Source organism: Homo sapiens, chromosome 8, assembly GCF_000001405.40.
Source record: "Homo sapiens chromosome 8, GRCh38.p14 Primary Assembly".
In the NCBI taxonomy this organism is placed as follows: Eukaryota; Metazoa; Chordata; class Mammalia; order Primates; family Hominidae; genus Homo; species Homo sapiens.
The window spans coordinates 42,433,076-42,452,081 of record NC_000008.11 but is presented as its reverse complement, the minus strand read 5'-3'; the positions used below and the strand labels follow the sequence as shown (position 1 = coordinate 42,452,081).

Here is a 19,006-nt window from a genome sequence, read left to right as displayed (position 1 = left end):
CATCTCTTCCTCCCCCTCCTCTTCATCTCTTCCTCCCCCTCTCTTCCTCCTCTTCCTCTTCATCTCTTCCTCCTCCTCCTCTTCATCTCTTCCTCCTCCTCCTCTTCATCTCTTCCTCCTCCTCCTCTTCATCTCTTCCTCCTCCTCCTCTTCATCTCTTCCTCCTCCTCCTCCATCTCTTCCTCTTCCTCTTCATCTCTTCCTCTTCCTCCTCCATCTTTTCCTCCTCTTTCATCTCTTCCTTCTCCTCCTCATCTCTTCCTTCTCCTCCTCCATCTCTTCCTCCTCCTCTTCATCTCTTCCTCTTCCTCCTCCATCTTTTCCTCCTCCTCCTCCATCTTTTCCTCCTCCTCTTTCATCTCTTCCTCCTCCTCCTCTTCATCTCTTCCTCCCCCTCCTCTTCATCTCTTCCTCCCCCTCTATCTCTTCCTCCTCTTCCTCTTCATCTCTTCCTCCTCCTCCTCTTCATCTCTTCCTCCTCCTCCTCCATCTCTTCCTCTTCCTCTTCATCTCTTCCTCTTCCTCCTCCATCTTTTCCTCCTCTTTCATCTCTTCCTTCTCCTCCTCCTCATCTCTTCCTTCTCCTACTCCATCTCTTCCTCCTCCTCTTTATCTCTTCCTCTTCCTCCTCCATCTTTTCCTCCTCCTCTTACATCTCTTCCTACTCCTTCTCCTCTATCTCTTCCTCCTCCTCCTCTTCATCTCTTCCTCTTCCATCTCTTCCTCCTCCTCCATCTCTTCCTCCTTCTCCATCTCTTCCTCCTCCTCCTTATCTCTTCCTCCTCCTCCATCTCTTCTCTTCCCTGTCCTCCTCCTCTTCTTCCTGTTTCTCCTCCTCCTTTGCCCCCTTTCTCCTCCTCATCCCCCTCCTCTGGTTTCTCCTCTTCCTTCTCATCTTCCTCCTCCTTCTCTTCTTCCACCTCTTCCTCCTCCCCCTGTTCCTCCTCCAGTTGCAGCTGCTTCTGATCCAGTTTCTAGGAAACCAGGACATCAGAAACCTCTCAGGCTGCCAGTTGGCTTTGTGAGAAGGAGCCCTGCACTCAGAAGGCCTCTTTCTTCCATGCTGTGATTGTGAAGTGCAGGCTGTGGAGAAGCCAGAAATTGCCGTTACAGTGATTCCTAGTCTTGGATTGGGGAAGCCCTGGGGTGAGAAGAGTCTCCAGTTATCACCAAGAGCTGGATTCAAAACAGGGTCATTTAAATTCACCTCATTTTCAAAATTATTACAAATGTACCCTGGTTTGAAAAAGTTGGTACCAGCCAGGCTCATGGCTCACACCTGTAATCCCAGCACTTATGGGAGGCAGAGGCAGGCAGATCACCTGAGGTCAGGAGTTAGAGACCAGCCTAGCCAACATGGAGAAACTCTGTCTCTACTAAAAATACAAAAATTAGCTGGGTGTGGTGGTGAGTTCCTGTAATCCCAGCTACTTAGGAGGCTGAGGCAGGAGAATTGCTTGGACCTGGGAGGCGGAGGCTGCAGTGAGTGGAGATTGAGCCACTGCATTCCAGCCTGGGCGACAGAGCGAGACTCCATCTCAAACAAAAAAAGAGGCCGGGCGCAGTGGCTCATGCCTGTAATCCCAGCAGTTTTGGGAGGCTGAGGCAGGTGGATCACCTGAGGTCAGGAGTTCGAGACCAGGTTGGCCAATATGGTGAAACCCCATCTCTACTAAAAATACAAAAATTAGCTGGGCATAGTGGCATGTGCCTATAATCCCAGCTACTTGGGAGGTTGAGGCAGGAGAATCGCTTGAACCTGGGAGGTAGAGGTTGCAATGAGCCAAGATGGCACCACTTTACTCCAGCCTGGGCAATACAGTAAGACTCAGTCTCAAAAAAAAAAAGAACGAACGAAAAAAAAATACTTGGTACCATGTGCAAAAAATATATATATATATTTTTTACTTATAGAGCAAATTAGGAAATCACATTTTTTATTTTATTTTCTCAACTAAGTTGTTTCAGAATTCCTATTACATAGGTAGCTCCTCTAATGCTTTGAATATATTGATCTAGAGCAAAAGACAAAGCTCAATTTATAAGGCAAGATATTAGAGCAGTTCTACAAAGGAGGTAATCTCTGTGTGTGTGCATGTGTGTGCACACATAAGTGTGAATGTTTACTATGAGAAGATATCCGCAGCATATTGTTATGTGACAAACAAAAGCATAGAATAGTATATAGTGGGATTCTGCTTCTGTTTAATAAAAGGAAAAAAGAAAAATAAATGTTCGACATGGTGTCTGTGCCTACCTAGAAAATGCCTGGAAACATACACACCAAATAGTTCTTACTGTCTCCCTGGGAAGTAAGTTGAAGAGGGGAGGATGATGAGGAAGGTTCATATTTGTACATCATACAATTTTGTAGGTACTGCTGATATTTTTACGATAAGCATGGATTATTTATATAATGAAGACAAAGAATCTGCATTGAGTCAATAAGAAGGAAGATTGTAGGGAGATGATGGGTCATGATATAAGGAAACTGATATAGACTAAAGCCTTATTGGTCCCATATAAGTTTTATTTGTTTATAGATCCTTAGTCATGAGTGTTAGATGTGAAAAACAAGAAGTACAACAAGGCAATAACAATGGAGACTGAGCTCGTATAAAAAGTTCTATGTATTTCTCCCTAAATGGCTTGAATATTCGTCTAATCTTTTGGGAATTTGGAATAGAATTGTAAAGATGCTTGAGGTTAGAGCTAAATCACTATTCATCGTATCTTAGCTGCTCCGCAAATGAAAGGCGCTTGACATTTGCGCCTTTTAGTGGCTAAAACCGAGAACGGAGACCCAGAGCTCCTTGCGCGGGTTCCTGGCAGCTACTTTTGGCTGAGTGAACACGAGCCACTGAGGCTGTGCCCCAGTATGTCCATCCGCAGGGGGAAATGACGGCCATGTCTTACTGCCTGACGTAGCCATAATTGTTTGGAAACAATTCGAGATCCGTACCAGAAAGACAATTTAATAGAAAGTATTTTTGTCAAAAATGTTGTTGTGTAGAAGCCAGTCTTGAGTTTTTAGGAGAAAAACCGTTTGCCTTGGGTGTGCATTGATTCAGGCGCTGTCCTGTGCTGAATCTTTGTATTGAATTGTTTTTTATCCACGAAACTGGATTTTATATACTTAGTACAATTTGGAGCTGTGTAACACAGGTAACTGTCAGTTTACTTTTTTCACATGCAGGCCTTAAAAGTAAATCCTTGTGCTCATCTGATTCTCTGCTAAATCACCAAACTGCTGGAATACTTCAGTAAGATCCTGTCCCCATTCTGCTCCCCCTCTCACCTACTGTGAACAGCTTCCCCTGTTTTCCCAGATTCCTTCTCTCTTCTTCCTCCTCCGTGACGTGTTACCCTGTCTCCCCACCACTTCCCCTGGGTGATGCGTTTCTCTCCTGCTTCCCCTGCCAGTTTCTCATGACTGGGAGGTGATTTCAGAGTTTTCTGGCTGTATCCCAGGCCACATCAGTGGTAGAGGCAGGTGTGACGGCAAAGGTGCAAAGGGCAGGTGATATTATCTTAAGTCGAAGCACAGGGTGAGAAGTCTTGCCCCCGACCTCAGGTTCACCCTTTTGGTGGTGGTCCTGACACCATCTGGGACCCCATGTGACCCTGCTGGGAGCCTGGCGTGGTCCTAGAAGGAGCCCATCAAGTAGCCCTTCTTGACTTCTCTTTCGGGCCCTGCTCAGCATGAATGGTAAAAATAGGGCCTGATAGCAAAAGCGTTCACTCATTTTTAAAATATGTATCCCAGATTGTTTCTCTCTCCCTGTGGTCTCTAGGGTTTGCCTCTCTTAGATCAGTTTGGCGCAGTAGCGCTAAGCCGAAAGTAGCACAATTAGTAATTGTATCATCAGCAAAACCACAGAAGAAGCAGGGAAACCTCTTCAGGAACCATGCTTTGAAGCCATGCGTGGGATCGGTGTTGGCGTCAGTTGTTAGTTTGACGTTGGTAAAGAGCGGGTACCATTCGAGTTGGCAAGAACCAGCTTTGGTGCAATCCTTTGCTGCGTGTATGAACCCCTACATGAAGGTGGACAGCAGACGCTGGGAAGCCTTGGCCCCAGACACAGCCCAGTGCAACCAACCAAGGGGTCGCACAAGCGGCTCTCAGCTTTGGGTGCAGGGGCAGAGCCTGAGTTGGATGGGGCCTGCTGGTGTCAGTACAGCCGCGTGGCAGAGCTGAGTCAGCCTTCTGATGTAGTCAGGGGGATGGGAGCTGAGCAGTTAAGTGCCTGTCCTCCCCCAGTGACCTTAGCTATCACTGTGCTAGGTGATTCTGGATTTTTGTTTTTAATACTTATATACATTAATTCTGACTATATATAGTATTAACTACCTATTCTATTCATACTATCTCTTACAATTATAAAAAAGAAATTTTTTTTCTTCTGAGATAGAATCTCGCTCTGTCGCCCAGGCTGGAGTGCAGTGGCGTGATCTTGGCTCACTGCAGCTCCACCTTCCGGGTTCATGCCATTCTCCTGCCTCAGCCTCCGGAGTAGCTGGGACTACAGGTGCCCACCACCACGCCTGGCTAATTTTTTTGTATTTTTAGTAGAGACGGGGTTTCACCGTGTTAGCCAGGATGGTCTCCATCTCCTGACCTTGTGATCTGCCCGCCTTGGCCTCCCAAAGTGCTGGGATTACAGGCATGAGCCACCGCACCCAGCCCAAATGTATGTTAATTTTTTTTATAGTATGTTAATTTTTTTTTTTTTTTTGAGGCAGGATCTCACTCTGTTGCCCAGGCTGGAGTTCAATGGCGCTATCATAGCTCACTGCAGCCTCAAATTCCTGGGCTCAAGAAATCTTCCCACCTCAGCCTCCCAAGTAGTTGGGACTACAGGCGTGCACCACTACTCCCAGCTAATCTTTTTGTTTTTATTTTGTAGAGACAGGGTCTCACTATGTTGCTCAGGATGGTCTTGAACTCCTGGCTTCAAGTGATCCTCTCACCTCAGCTTCCCAAAGTGCTGGGATTACAGGCATGAGGCACCCTGCCAAGCCTAATAGTACCTCAGCTGAGTAACTTTGTGCTGCTTTCTATGTATAAAATGGTTAACAATAAAACAAAGACTGCAAATTTATTTAAGAGCAAAGTGTTAAATAGTTAACCCCTTTGAATTAAATTTTTTAACAATTTACAAAAGTGACATTCTTATAGTATATATATTTTTATTTCTTTTTCTTTTTTATATTTTGTTTTTTACTTTTTTTAGTAAATTCTCCCAGATCCTTATCTTATTGTATATATTTTTTAAGTTACCACTATAAAGGTATGTGTAATAAAAAGTGAAATTCCCACTCCAGTCTCCCATCTCTCCATAAAGAAATTGGAAACCACTGTATCTTCCCAGAACTTTTTCTGTAAATTCACAGATATGACGGGAATGTGGAAAGGTGGATGTTTTATTTTTCAAACATAAATTGCATCATGCCATGTGTATATCATACAACTAGCCTGCATTACTCATTGGATCTTGGGCCTCTTTCCTTATCAGTACATATAGACCTGCATAATTCATAAGACTGTCTACAGTAATTACTTCACATTTTCATAATGATGCATATATTAGTTGTTCTACAAATTATTACTATTACAAATAATGCTGTGGTGAGTATTCTTGCATAACTACCTGTGAGTTTATGTATGAGCATAAGTGTTCAAGTTGTGCACATATGAATGTGTGTGAATGTGCCTGTTGTCACCATTGACAGCAGATGGACAAAATTCAGGGTGATGAGGGCTGGAGACATGACAGTGCTATGAAAAGATGACGTTCTCAAACCATGTGCACTTCCACCCTTGGATTGGCTAATGTTATTATTGCTTAGTGTGCATTATGGGATTTGAGTGAAAAGTTTTTCTGCACTGTAATTCCGTAAGTTGATGCTTCAAAGAAGAGTTAGAATTGAAGGTCAGTGTCCTTTTAAAAAACTCTTATTCCTTGGGCCAGGTGGCTCATGCCTGTAATCCCAGCTCTTTGGGAGGCCAAAGCAGGAACATCCCATGAGGCTAGGAGTTTGACACCAGCCTGGGCAACATCGCAAGACCTTGTCTCTTAAAAAAATAAAAGTAAAAATAAAAATAAATAAACAACAACAAAAATCCTTTTATTTCTCAATTGATTTCAAAGAAGTTCTGTGTATGTGGTTAGGGCACATGTCCGTTTAAAGTAGGGCTACTGGCTGCTGAGGAACTAGGAGAGGCCTCAGTTGCGGAGCCAGGCAGTGTCCAGATGGCAGCTTCCTGCCGCAGGTGGGCTGGGCTGAGGTGGGCATCAGGATGGAAGACAGCTGACTCCTTTCTTTTTTTTTCTTTATTTCTTTTTCTTTTTTGAGATGGAGTTTTACTCTTGTTGCCCAGACTAGAGTGCAATGGCGCGATCTCAGCTCACTGCAACCTCCGCCTCCCAGGCTCAAGTGATTCTCCTGCCTCAGCCTCCTGAGTAGCTGTGATTACAGGCGCCTGTCACCGCGCCTGGCTAAGTTTTTGTATTTTTAGTAGAGATAGGGTTTCAACATGTTGGCCAGGCTGGTCTCAAACTCCTGACCTCAGGTGATCCTCCCACCTCGGCCTCCCAAAGTGCTGGGATTATAGGCGGGAGCCATCATGCCCGACCTCAGCTGACTCCCTTCTCAGCCACATTTGTTGTGCAGCCATTTAGATATTGAAATAATATGTAAATGGATTTCATCCCAACTTAAATATGCTGTTTGTGCCCAGTTGTTAAAATTTTATTTATTTATTTTTATTTTATTTATTGTTTTTTTTGAGATGGAGTCTCGCTCTGTTGCCCAGGCTAGAGTGCAGTGGTGCAATCTCGGCTCACTGCAACATCCCCCTCCCAGGTTCGAACGAATCTCCCGCCTCAGCCTCCCGAGTAGCTGGGATTACAGGCATGCGCCACCACGCCCAGCTAATTTTTGAATTTTTGGTAGAGATGGGGTTTTACTATATTGGCCAGGCTGATCTCGAACTCCTGACCTCAGGTGATCCTCCCACCTTGGCCTCCCAAAGTGCTGGGATTACAGGTGTGAGCCGCCATGCCTGGCCCCCAGTTGGTAAAACTTTAATAATTAGCTTACTAACTAGTTTAAGCACATATTCGCCAGATATAAGATGTCTTGAACATACAGCTTTCTACTCCAAAAAGTATAGCATGTTTTTTTAGTTGAGAGTTTTATTCACTACAAAATCCAGGTGATTCGTTCTCGATTTGGGGAGTGGGAAGTCCACCGCCCTGAGGCCTGACCTTGCAGAAGTTTCCAGTAATGACACTGCTTCTCATTTTCCTTCCCAGTGCTCGGCCTTGTTCTCCCCATGTGGGCCATAGCCCTCATTTCCTTTGGTGTCGCCCTCCTGTTCGCTTTTTTTGTGTGGCTCTTCGTGTGTCCGTGGATGCGGAGGAAAATAACAGGTATGGGCCTTTTAATTCTTCTGATTTACAGAAATGCTCCCGATTCCCAAAACCTCACATGTAACATGCCATGATCCTTACTAATGGAGGAAATGGAAGTGTGGGTGACTCCAGAACATACCCCATCCTCTGTCTCTCCGTTCCTGAGTGCTTTCTGGCTCATACGTTTTCTTGATAAGTTGTAACCCAGGTGGGCAGCAAGGTCCCAGTTGCCATGAGTAACTGGAAGTTAACCGTGCAGTGCAGTTCTGCCAGCCTGTGGAAAAACATTAGCCTTCATAGAAATGCAAATTAACTCCACAAGGAGATTTTGTTTCCCACTCACAAGAATGGCTAAGAGTACAAAGTTCCTGCAATTCCATATGTGGGTGAAGAAGTGAAATAATTGGAACTCTCCCAGGTTTATGCTGAAATTTAAAATGGTGCAACCACTTTGGAAGTTAGGTTTGCAGTTTCTTTATAAAGTTCACCTTACACTTACCATGTGAGCCAGTAATTTCACTCCTAGCTATTTATCCAAAGAAATGAAAACGTGTTCATAAAAAGACTTGTATACAAATCTTTTTGTCATAATAGCCCAAAGTGGAAACAACCCATGTGTTGGTCAGCAGGCAAATGGGTAACCAAATTGAGTAAATTCATGCGATGGACGACCACGCAGCAATAGAGAGAATGAACTGCTGGGGACCTGACGGCTGAAGGCATCCTACAGCCGTGATACTGAGCAGAAGCCCATGATCCGGAAGAGCACCTATTCTGCATGCTGGCATTTTTCATAACATTTTCTTAAATTTTTATTTAAAAGTTTTATGGATCTTTCCATTAAATTTAAGAATATGGAAAATTCATCTATAGCAACAGAAAGCACTGATCGCCTGGGATGGGTGGGGGTTGGAGAAGGCAGCTCAGGAACTTATCAGGGACATGAAATGTCTTTGTTTTCATCAGGGAAGGGGTTTAGAGTGTGCCCACTTGCGGCAGGTCATAACCTGGATGCTTAAAATGTATGCATTTTTGGCTGGGCATGGTGGCTTACACCTGTAATCCCAGCACTTTGGGAGGCCGAGGCATGTGGATCACCTGAGGTCAGGAGTTCGTTGGTCAGGAGACCAGCCTAACCAACAAGGTAAATAAAACCCTGTCTCTACTAAAAATACAAAAATTAGCTGGGCCCTGGTGGCAGGTGCCTGTAGTCCCAGCTACTCGGGAGGCTGAGACAGGAGAATTGCTTGAACCCGGGGGGGCAGAGGTTGCAGTGAGCCAAGATCGTGCCACTGCACTCCAGCCTGGGTGACGGAGCGAGACTCCGTCTCAAAAAAAAAAGTATACATTTTATTATATATATATATATATATATATATATATATATATATATATATATCCTATAATAATAATTGTATTATTATAGTACTGTAATAATTATACTGTGGTATAATACAATTATACTATACAATAACTGTATAGTATAATATACAATATAGTACTCTACTGTATAGTACTATAATAATTGTATTATTATAGTTATAGTAATTATAACATATATAATAAAACGAAGCAATAAAAATAAAACACATGTTATTAAAAGGAAAACAGTTTTTAAAAAGAAGAAGAATATGGCTTAGGAAGTCAGCCAAGGCTGTTTTCCTATTCCCAATTCCCCATATTTGAATTTCAAGCCTTGAAGCCACATGCTTTTTACAGAACTCTCAAAAAACAGATATTTACATTTGGTCTCAGCATGTACCATAGGGTCACATTTTGGTATGGATATATCTGCATTTGGAAATTCACTTTTTGAAAAAGACCAAAATACATGAGACAAAGCATGCTCCTGAATTGGAAGACAGTATAGTAGAGATGCCAGTTCTTAGATTCATCTCTAGACTTTAGACAATTTAAATAGAAATCCCAGCAGGATATTTTGTAGATTTAGACAAGCCACTTTTAAAGTTCATGTAGAAAGTCAAAGAAACTAGATGAGCTGGAACAATTTTGGAAAAGAAAAAAGTTGGAGGATTCATATTAACCTGACTTCACGACTTGTTATGAAGCCACAAGGCAGTGTGGAAGAGAGAGACACATAGATTAATGGAACAAGAATAGAGTCTAGAAATAGACCCACACTAATGTGGCAAATGGATTTTAAACAAAGGTACAGAAACAGTTCAATGGAGAAAGGACAGTCTTTCAACAAATGGTTTTGGAACACTTGACATCCATATGCCAAAATAAGAACATTAACCTAAACCTTATTTTAAAAATTAACTTAAAATGCATCATAGATCTAAATATAAAATTTAAAAAACAATAAGACTTTTAGAAAAAAAATATAAGGGAAAACTTTTGTGACCTTGGGTTGAGAAAGGGTTTTTAGATATGACACCAAAAACATGTTCTATAAAAGAACAAGTTGGGCCAGGCATGGTGGCTCACGCCTGTAATCCCAGAACTTTAGGAGGCTGAGGCAGGCAGATCACCTGAGGTCGGGAGTTCGAGATCAGCCTGGCCAACATGGAGAAACCCTGTTTCTATTAAAAATACAAAATTAGCCAAGTGTGGTGGCTCATGCCTGTAATCCCAGCTACTTGGGAGGCTGAGGCAGGAGAATTGCTTGAACCTGGGAGGCAGAGGTTGCATTGAGCCGAGATTGTGCCATTGCACTCCCCTTGGGCAACAAGAGCAAAACTCCATCTCAAAAAAAAAAAGGACAACTTGATAAATTGTACTTCATCAAAATTTCAAACTATTGCTCTGTGAGAAGCACCGGGAACAGAATGGGAAAAAATGTTTGCACATCCCATAACTACAAAGGACTTGTATTCAAAAAATAAAAACACATTTTAGAAAACAAATAACTCAATTAAAAAATGAGCAAAATAGGCCAGGCGCAGTGGCACACGACTATAATCCCAGCAGTTTGGGAGGCTGAGGTGGGTGGATCACAAGGTCAGGAGATTGAGACCATCTTGGCCAACATGGTGAAACCCCATCTCTACTAAAAATACAAAAATTAGCTGGGCGTGGTGGCACATGCTTGTAATCCCAGCTACTCAGGAGGCTGAGGCAGGAGAATCGCTTGAACCATGGAGTCAGAGGTTGCAGTGATCCGAGATCGCGCCACAGCACTCCAGTCTGGTAACAGAGTAAGACTCTGTCTCAAAACAAACAAACAAACAAACAAAAAGAACAAAATAGCCCAGGCACGGTGACTCATGCCTGTAATCCCAGCACTTTGGGAGGCCGAGGTGGGCGGATCATGAGGTCAGGATTTCGAGACAAGCTTGGCCAACATGGTGAAACCCCATCTCTACTAAATATACAAAATTAGTCAGGTATGGTGGTGGGTGCCTCTAATCCCAGCTACTCAGGAGGCTGAGGCAGGGGAATCACTTGAACCCGGGAGGCGGAAGTTACAGTGAGCGGAGATCACGCTAGTGCACTCCAGCGCACTCTAGCCTGGGCAAAAAGAGTGAAACTCTATCTCAAAAAAAAAAAAAAAAAAAGAGCAAAATATTTGAATAGACACTTCACCAAAGAAGATAGATGGGGCCAGACACGGTGGCTCACGCCTGTAATCCCAACACTTTGGGAGGCTGAGGCGAGCAGTTCACGAGGTCAAGAAATCGAGACCATCCTGGCCAACATGGTGAAACCCCGTCTCAGCTAAAAATACAAAAATTAGCTGGGCGTGGTGGCACGCACCTGTAGTCCCAGCTACTCGGGAGGCTGAGGCAGGAGAATCGCTTGAACGCGTGAGGCGGAGGTTACAGTGAGCTGAGATAGAGCCACTGCACTCCAGCCTGAGTGACAGAGTGAGATTCCATCTCAAAAATAAATAAATAAATAAATAATGAAAAATACTGACAGTACTAAATTTTGTCAGTATTTAGAAGAATGAAGAGGAACTGGAACCTCGTACGTTGCTGATGGGAATGTCAAATGGTACAGGGAAACTGTTTGGCAGCTTCTTATATGGCTAGCACTTGCCATAAATATACTCTTAACCACTCCTAGATATTTCCCTGGAAAAATGAAAACTTAAATTCACACAGAAATCTGCACATGAATGTTTATAGCACCTTTATATGCAATCTCCAAAAACCCACATTATCCACAGAATAAATAAACTGTGGTGCCTTTGTACATTTGAATACTACTCAGCAATTAAAAGGAACAAATTATTGATCCATGTAACAACGTGGATGGATTTCAAAGGCATTATGCTGAGTAGAAAAAGCCAGTCTCAAAAATCGCATATTTTATTATTTTATTTATGTGACTTTCTGAAAAAGGCAATTTTTCAGAAATTGAAATTTCTGATTCTGAGGTTAGTTTAAGAAAACAGAAGGCCAGTCTGGGTGGCTATAGATTTACAGAACATTAGTGCTGGAGGGAACTGTGGTATTCGGATCTGACCCTTTTTTGGTTGTTGTTTTTGGATATGATAACTCGGGCCCTAAATTTCCATCTTTTCCTCAATTGCTGAATTTTCTGGCTAGAGTTTTCCAGGTAATTAATTGAACTTTTGACTTTCTTTTCTTTTCTTTCTTTTTTTTTTTTTGAGACAGAGTCTCACTCTGTCACCCAGGCTGGAGCGCAGTGGCGCAGTCTTGGCTCACTGCTAATTCTGCCTCCTGGGTTTAAGAGATTCTCCTGCCTCAGCCTCCCAAGTAGTTGGAATTACAGGCGCCTGCCACCACACCCGGCTAATTTTTATATTTTTAGTAGAGACGGGGTTTCACCATATTATCCAGGCTGGTCTCAAACTCCTGACCTGGTGATCCACCTGCTTCGGCCTCCCAAAGTGCTGGGATTACAGGTGTGAGCCACCACACCTGGCCTCAACTTCATTTTCTCTATCTAGCTATAACTTTTTTTTTTGTTTCCAAAATCAGTGCTAAAGCATAAAGATATAGATTCACTTTTTAATATTCATGTTTCAATAATAAGAACTCTCTTCCAGAATGTTCAGTATGACTTTGTTTTCTTTAGGCAAATTACAAAAAGAAGGTGCTTTATCACGAGTATCTGACGAAAGCCTCAGTAAGGTTCAGGAAGCAGAGTCCCCAGTATTTAAAGAGCTACCAGGTGCCAAGGCTAATGATGACAGCACCATCCCGCTCACGGGAGCAGCAGGGGAGACACTGGGGACCTCGGAAGGCACTTCTGCGGGCAGCCACCCTCGGGCTGCATACGGTAAGATGTGCCTGGAGAGCTTGGGTTCTGTGGCAGCACAGAGAAGTTCCCTGGGGAGGACCAGCTGGGCCTGGGTGTGGGCAATCTGGTTTTAATGCACAAAAGGATCCCCCAGTTTTATAATTTGAGAAAACCCAGAAGCTAGGGAGGCCTCAGGAAACCATTTCGTAGTCAGCAGAGCAGGCTCACTCTTGTCCTGTGATTTCTTCCAAGAGCTGTTTATAGTCTAACCGGAGGCACTGGGGCCACGCACTGTATGTCTGTGCTGCACCCACTCAGCTACATATGCAGATCTCCATGCCCCAGGAGTTATCGAATTGCTGAACGTTGGTTAACCCAGCTTACTATGGAAGATGCAAAGAGAAAGCTAAATTTGTAACCAAGGAGGTGGTCCCACCATTGAATCACAGAAACCTTAGAAAATGTCCAGACTGACCAGGTGCAGTGGCTCATGCCTATAATCCCAGCACTTTGGGAGGCCGAGGTGGATGGATCACCTGAGGTCAGGAATTCAAGACCAGCCTGACCAACATGGTGAAACCCCATCTCTACTAAAAATACAAAAATTAGCTGGGTATGGTGGTGGGTGCCTGTAATCCCTGCTACTCGGGAGGCTGAGGCAGGAGAATCACTTGAACCTGGGAGGCAGAGATTGCAGTGAGCCGAGATTGCGCCATTGCACTCCAGCCTGGGCAACAGAGTGAGATTCCATCTCAAAAAAGAAAAGAAAAGAAAAGAAAAAATCCAGACCATTCTGTGTCCTTTAGACTCTCAATGTTTGTGGGCAGTGCCAGGGGAGCACAGCTTCACCAAAGCCTGCCCTGGTGACTGCCACCTCTGCAAGGTGGGTTCTGGCACCTGCCTACCACAGGTGCAGTCTCAGATGTGGCCCAGAGAAAGCAAATTCATTTTGCCTGACTCATCTCAGATACTGCCTTTGACATTCATGACTGACCTTTTAAGATGCACCTAAAAAATTAGCCTGGATGATGGTGCACACCTGTAGTCCCAGATGCTTGGGAGGCTCAGGCGGGAGAATGACTTGAGCCCAGGAGTTGGAGTGAGCTATGATTGCACCACTGCACTCCAGCCTGGGTGACAGAGCTGAGACCCTGTCTCTAAAAACAAAATCAAAACAGAGGCACCTGGAATATCTACCTCACACGAAGTGGGTTTTGTCTCATGTATGAAGTTTCTCTAAGATGAGTTTCTTAAAAAGATTCTCCTTGTGTTGGTTTCTAGAAACAGAAAAAATGTGCCAAGTGCCATAGTAATTTCTGGAAGACACTTTTTAGGAGAACTTAAGATGTTTTGAAAATACCACATTATTAGTTTTACCCTTTTGTTGTATGTTTCCATGTTTTTTTTTTTTTTTTTTTTTTTTTTGGTTTTTTTTTTTAGTGGTAACCATATTACATGTCCTTTATGGCCAACTTAGAAAAGAAAGTATATGTTAATAAGTCATCCCCAGCCTTCTGGAGATAAGTGCCATGAAATAGTAGGGAGTGTTTCCTTCGCTTATATTCGAAAGGCTGGGGCTGGGCACGTTGGCTCACGCTTGTAATCCGAGCACTTTAGGAGGCCAAGGTGGGCGGATCATGAGGTTAGGAGCTTGAGACCATCCTGGCCAACATGGTGAAACCCCATCTCTACTAAAAATACAAAAAAGTTAGCTGGGCATGGTGTCGCGCTTGTAGTCCCAGCTACTCAGGAGGCTGAGGGAGAATCGCTTGAACCCGGGAGGCGAAGGTTGCAGTGAGCCGAGATTGCGCCATTGTACTCCACCCTGAGGACAGAGCAAGGCTCCGTCTCAAAAAGAAAAGAAAAAAAAAAAAAAGACTGGAAAATGAGACCTTCTCTAACCCTTTTCAGGAAGAGCACTGTCCATGACCCATGGCTCTGTGAAATCGCCCATCTCCAACGGCACCTTCGGCTTCGACGGCCACACCAGGAGCGACGGTCATGTGTACCACACCGTGCACAAAGACTCGGGGCTCTACAAAGATCTGCTGCACAAAATCCACATCGACAGGGGCCCCGAGGAGAAGCCAGCCCAGGAAAGCAACTACCGGCTGCTGCGCCGAAACAACAGTTACACCTGCTACACCGCAGCCATTTGTGGGCTGCCAGTGCACGCCACCTTTCGAGCTGCGGACTCATCGGCCCCAGAGGACAGTGAGAAGCTGGTGGGCGACACCGTGTCCTACTCCAAGAAGAGGCTGCGCTACGACAGCTACTCGAGCTACTGTAACGCGGTGGCAGAGGCGGAGATCGAGGCGGAGGAGGGCGGCGTGGAGATGAAGCTGGCGTCGGAGCTGGCCGACCCTGACCAGCCGCGAGAGGACCCTGCAGAGGAGGAGAAGGAGGAGAAGGACGCACCCGAGGTTCACCTCCTGTTCCATTTCCTGCAGGTCCTCACCGCCTGTTTCGGGTCCTTTGCTCACGGCGGCAATGACGTGAGGTGGGTGCTTTCATTCATTCATTCAACAAGGGTCCTTGAGGCTCCGCCAGGGGCCAGCGCTGTGCGGGTGCCGGGATCCAGCAGTGAACGGCACCGATGGAAGTCCCTGCCAGGGATAGGGGTGCGCAGGCGGTGGACAGACCCATAAGTCAGCATTGCGTGCGGGACAGCGAGCAGTGTTAACAGGAAAGTAAGGTAGATAGACACAGGGCAGGAGCCGCCAGGATGGCAGTGCGACCTGGGCTTCCAGGGAAGGGCTGGCCGGTGACGGAGGTGCAGGGGCGGCCACGTGGCGTCAGCAGGACGGCAGGTGCAGTCTTGAGGCGGGCACACACCTGTGTTCTCCAGGACAAGCTAGGAGGTCGCCGGTCTGCAGGTCGTGGATGCAGAGCACGTGGCCGATGGACACAGGAAGGAAGGCCTCGCCTCGAGAGGGGAGCCGTGGAGCTGTGAGCAGGGGCCACACAGGGCACATTTGACAGGGGCCACACAGGGCACGTTTGACAGGGGCACTGGCTTTGGACGACGGCCTGGATGCGGATGTGAGAGAAGAAGGAAAGAGGCAGCTGCCAAGATCGGAGCCGTGGCCTTGGCAAAGGCAAGAGTGGAGCTGCTGTCTGTTAGGGATGACGGAGGCCCTGGATGCAGCCAGGGCGCGATGCTGCTATTCAGGTTGAGCAGGCAGCGGCCGTGTACGCCCGAGTTCAGGACAGGCCGGGCTGGGTGCAGAGCAGGTAACGTGGGTGGAGGAGCACTGGGGCAGTGAGGCAGGCAGGCAGGAGGCAGAGTGCACAGACCGAGGAAACAGCCAGAAGGTATGCTGAACCAGGACGCTAGGAGAACTTCCTAGGAGGTGATTTAATTTTTTTTTTTAAGACGGAGTCTCGCTCTGTTCCCCAGGCTGGAGTGCAGTGGCGCAATCTCAGCTCACTGCAACCTCCTTCTCCCAAGTTCAAGTGATTCTCTTGTCTCAGCCTTCCCAAGCCGCTGGGATTACAGGCTCCCCAACCTGGCCCGGCTAATTTTTCTATTTCTAGTAGAGACGGGGTTTCCCATGTTGGCCAGGCTGGTCTCAAACTCCTGACCTCAGGTGATCCGCCCACCTCAGCCTCCCAAAGTGCTGGAATTACAGGTGTGAGCCACCACACCCGGCCATCCTTCAGTGACATCTTCAACCCCAGTGAGAAGGCTCCGTCCCACTCGTGGGCCCTAGTTCTCCCCACTGCACGATGCAGCCGCTGGAGCTGCCGCCCGAGCCTGCAGGTCACTCCACATGGTAATGTCGCAGGCATCCTGCAAATGAGTGTGTAGGGATGGGCAGATATGACCCTCCAACCTTGACCCCACCCACCCCACCTGCCCCACCCCACGCCCAGGCCTGGTGTGTAGGAAGCAGGGCGGCCTCCTGGGGCCTGAGAGCCCCAAGTTTGGGTCTCTGCTGTCGTCTTACAGCTGTGTAACCCCTAGACAAGGCATGTGCTTTTCCGAAGTCTCCGTTTCCCAATCTGTAAAATGGGGGAAAACGAGTCCTAACCTCCCAGGCTTCCCCTGTGTAATATGCTCAGGATGGTGCTCCCCACTCGCTCGGTTTCTGTCCGTTTCTGCTCTTGCCATCACGGTCATGGTGAGTCCACTGACCTTTCAGGGGACTGTGCCGTTGTCGTCTTCTGTCGCAGTCAGTGACTCCCCATGGGCTACGCACACTGCCTCCCCACGTGCAGCTGCAACTCTGCTGTTCGTAAAAGAAGTCTCGCTGCAGATGAACCTGGGCATCTTATGTTCTGCTCAGCATCATATGGGCATTTCTGTGGTATTTTATTTGGTATTTTCTTGGAGACAGCATGCTCTGTCCTATGTTAGTAACTTTTTGTCTGCCCCCACACCGTCCCACTTCCTCCTCCTCATCAAGCATTCTTTCCAGAAGGCCTGGTACTGGCAGAGCGCTAGGAACTGGGTCCTCGTCCATTAGAAGTTTAAACGCCAGTTAGGGAGATGAGAAAAACATATCCGTGGAAAAGTAACAACACATTCTCTAACATTCACACACTCAGATGCACACACACACGCACACACACTCACATGCGCACTCACACGCACACTCACACATGGACTCACGCACATTCACACACACACCATGTTTCATTTCAAAGGAAGCATCTAGGCAGTGGCTGCTCGGGGTGACTGTAGAATTGCGAAGAGTTGCTTGCAGCGTGGGGACTATTCTGGGGCTTTGGAGCAGGGAGAGCGTCTGGTGAAAGCACCATTCTAGAAGTCATCTGAGTGAGAAGAGGCGTCCATGCATTCAGCACGAGGTTGAGCCCCGAGGCCTCAGCACTGAGCTGCCATGGCCTATCCCACCCTGTCTCTAACATCCCTCTGAGCCAGGGGCGGGTGTCTCTCAGAGATGGGATCTGATGCTCAGGGCCACACAGCAAAACCAAAGCCAAATTGGAATCCAGTTTCAGTGACTCAGTGATACCCAGTCTACACAGCTGGCTGGGGGAGGAGACAAGAGCTTGCAGTGAGCTGGGACCATGCCACTGCACTCCAGCCTGGGCGACAGAGTGAGACTGTCTCAAAAAAAAAAATAATCCATTTAATAGGCCGGGTGTGGTGGCTCACGCCTATAATCTCAACACTTCGGGAGGCCGAGGCAGGTGGATCACCTGAGGTCGGGCGTTCAAGACCAGCCTGGACAACATGGTGAAACCCCACCTCTACTAAAAATACAAAAATTAGCTGGGCCTGTTTCTGGGCACTTGTGGTCCCAGCTACTCAGGAAGCTGAGGCACAAGAATCACTTGAACCCAGAAGGCGGAGGTTGCAGTGAGCCGAAATTACACCACTGCACTCCAGCCTGGTGAGATTGTGCCACTGCACTCCAGCCTGGGCAACAGAGGGAGACTCTCTCAAAAATAATAATAATAAATTACACACCTATTAGGATGGCTACCACTTAAAAAAAAAAGTAACAAGTGTTGTCAAGGATGTAGAGAAATTGTAACCCTGTGCACCATTAGTGGGGGTGTAAAATGGTGTAACCACTATGGAAAACAGGATGGAGGCTCCTCAAAAAATTAAACAGACCTCCCCTATGACCCAGCATTCCTGCTTCCGGGTATACATACAGAAGAATTGAAAGCAGAGTCTCAAAGAGATATTTGTACCACATGTTCAAAGCACTGCCGTTTGCAATAGGCAAGAGGGGAGAACAACCCAGATGTCCACTGCCAGGTGAATGGAAACAAATTATGTCCATGCATACACTGGAATATTATTTAGCCTTTAAAAAGAAGGAAGTCCTGTCACTTGCTGTAACATGGATGAACCTGGAGGACATTAGGCTAAGTGAAATAAACCATCACAGAAAGATAAATACTACTCATGCCTGTAATCCCAGCACTTTGGGAGGCTGAGGCGGGCGGATCATGAGGTCAGGAGATCAAGACCATCCTGACTAACACAGTGAAACCCCATCTGTACTAAAAATACAAAAAATTAGCCAGGCGTGGTGGCACGTGCCTGTAATCCCAGCTACTCAGGAGGCTGAGGCAGGAGAATTGCTTGAACCCAGGTGGAGGATATTGCAGTGAGCCGAGATCATGTCACTGCACTCCAGCCTGGGCAACCAAGCAAGACTCCATCTCAAAAAAAAAGATAAATACTCTATGATTCCACTTCTATGAGCTGTCTACAGCAGTCAAATTCCTAGAACTAGAAAGTAGGATGGTGGTTGCCATTAGCTGCGGGGAGGGGCAGTGGGAATTTGTTTAAAGAGTGCAGAGTTTCACATTTGCAAGATGAACAAGTTCTGGAGATCTGTTTCACAACAATGTAAATATACTTAACACTGCTGAACTATAAATAAGAATGATTACGATGGTAAATTTTATGTTATGCTTTTTACCAAAAT

General features: G+C 46.1%; 1 protein-coding gene across 16 annotated transcripts in view; it reads left to right on the top strand.

Annotated features, from left to right (window-relative positions):
- SLC20A2 (solute carrier family 20 member 2) overlaps window positions 1-19,006 on the top strand; it is a 125,480-nt gene that overhangs the window by 89,873 nt on the left and 16,601 nt on the right. For all 16 annotated transcript variants that reach the window (XM_024447237.2, XM_017013748.2, NM_006749.5 and 13 more), the window contains 3 exons: window positions 7,320-7,436; window positions 12,429-12,632; window positions 14,505-15,093. In XM_024447237.2, the coding sequence (XP_024303005.1) occupies window positions 7,320-7,436; window positions 12,429-12,632; window positions 14,505-15,093 (910 nt within the window). The remainder of the gene's footprint in view (window positions 1-7,319; window positions 7,437-12,428; window positions 12,633-14,504; window positions 15,094-19,006) is intronic.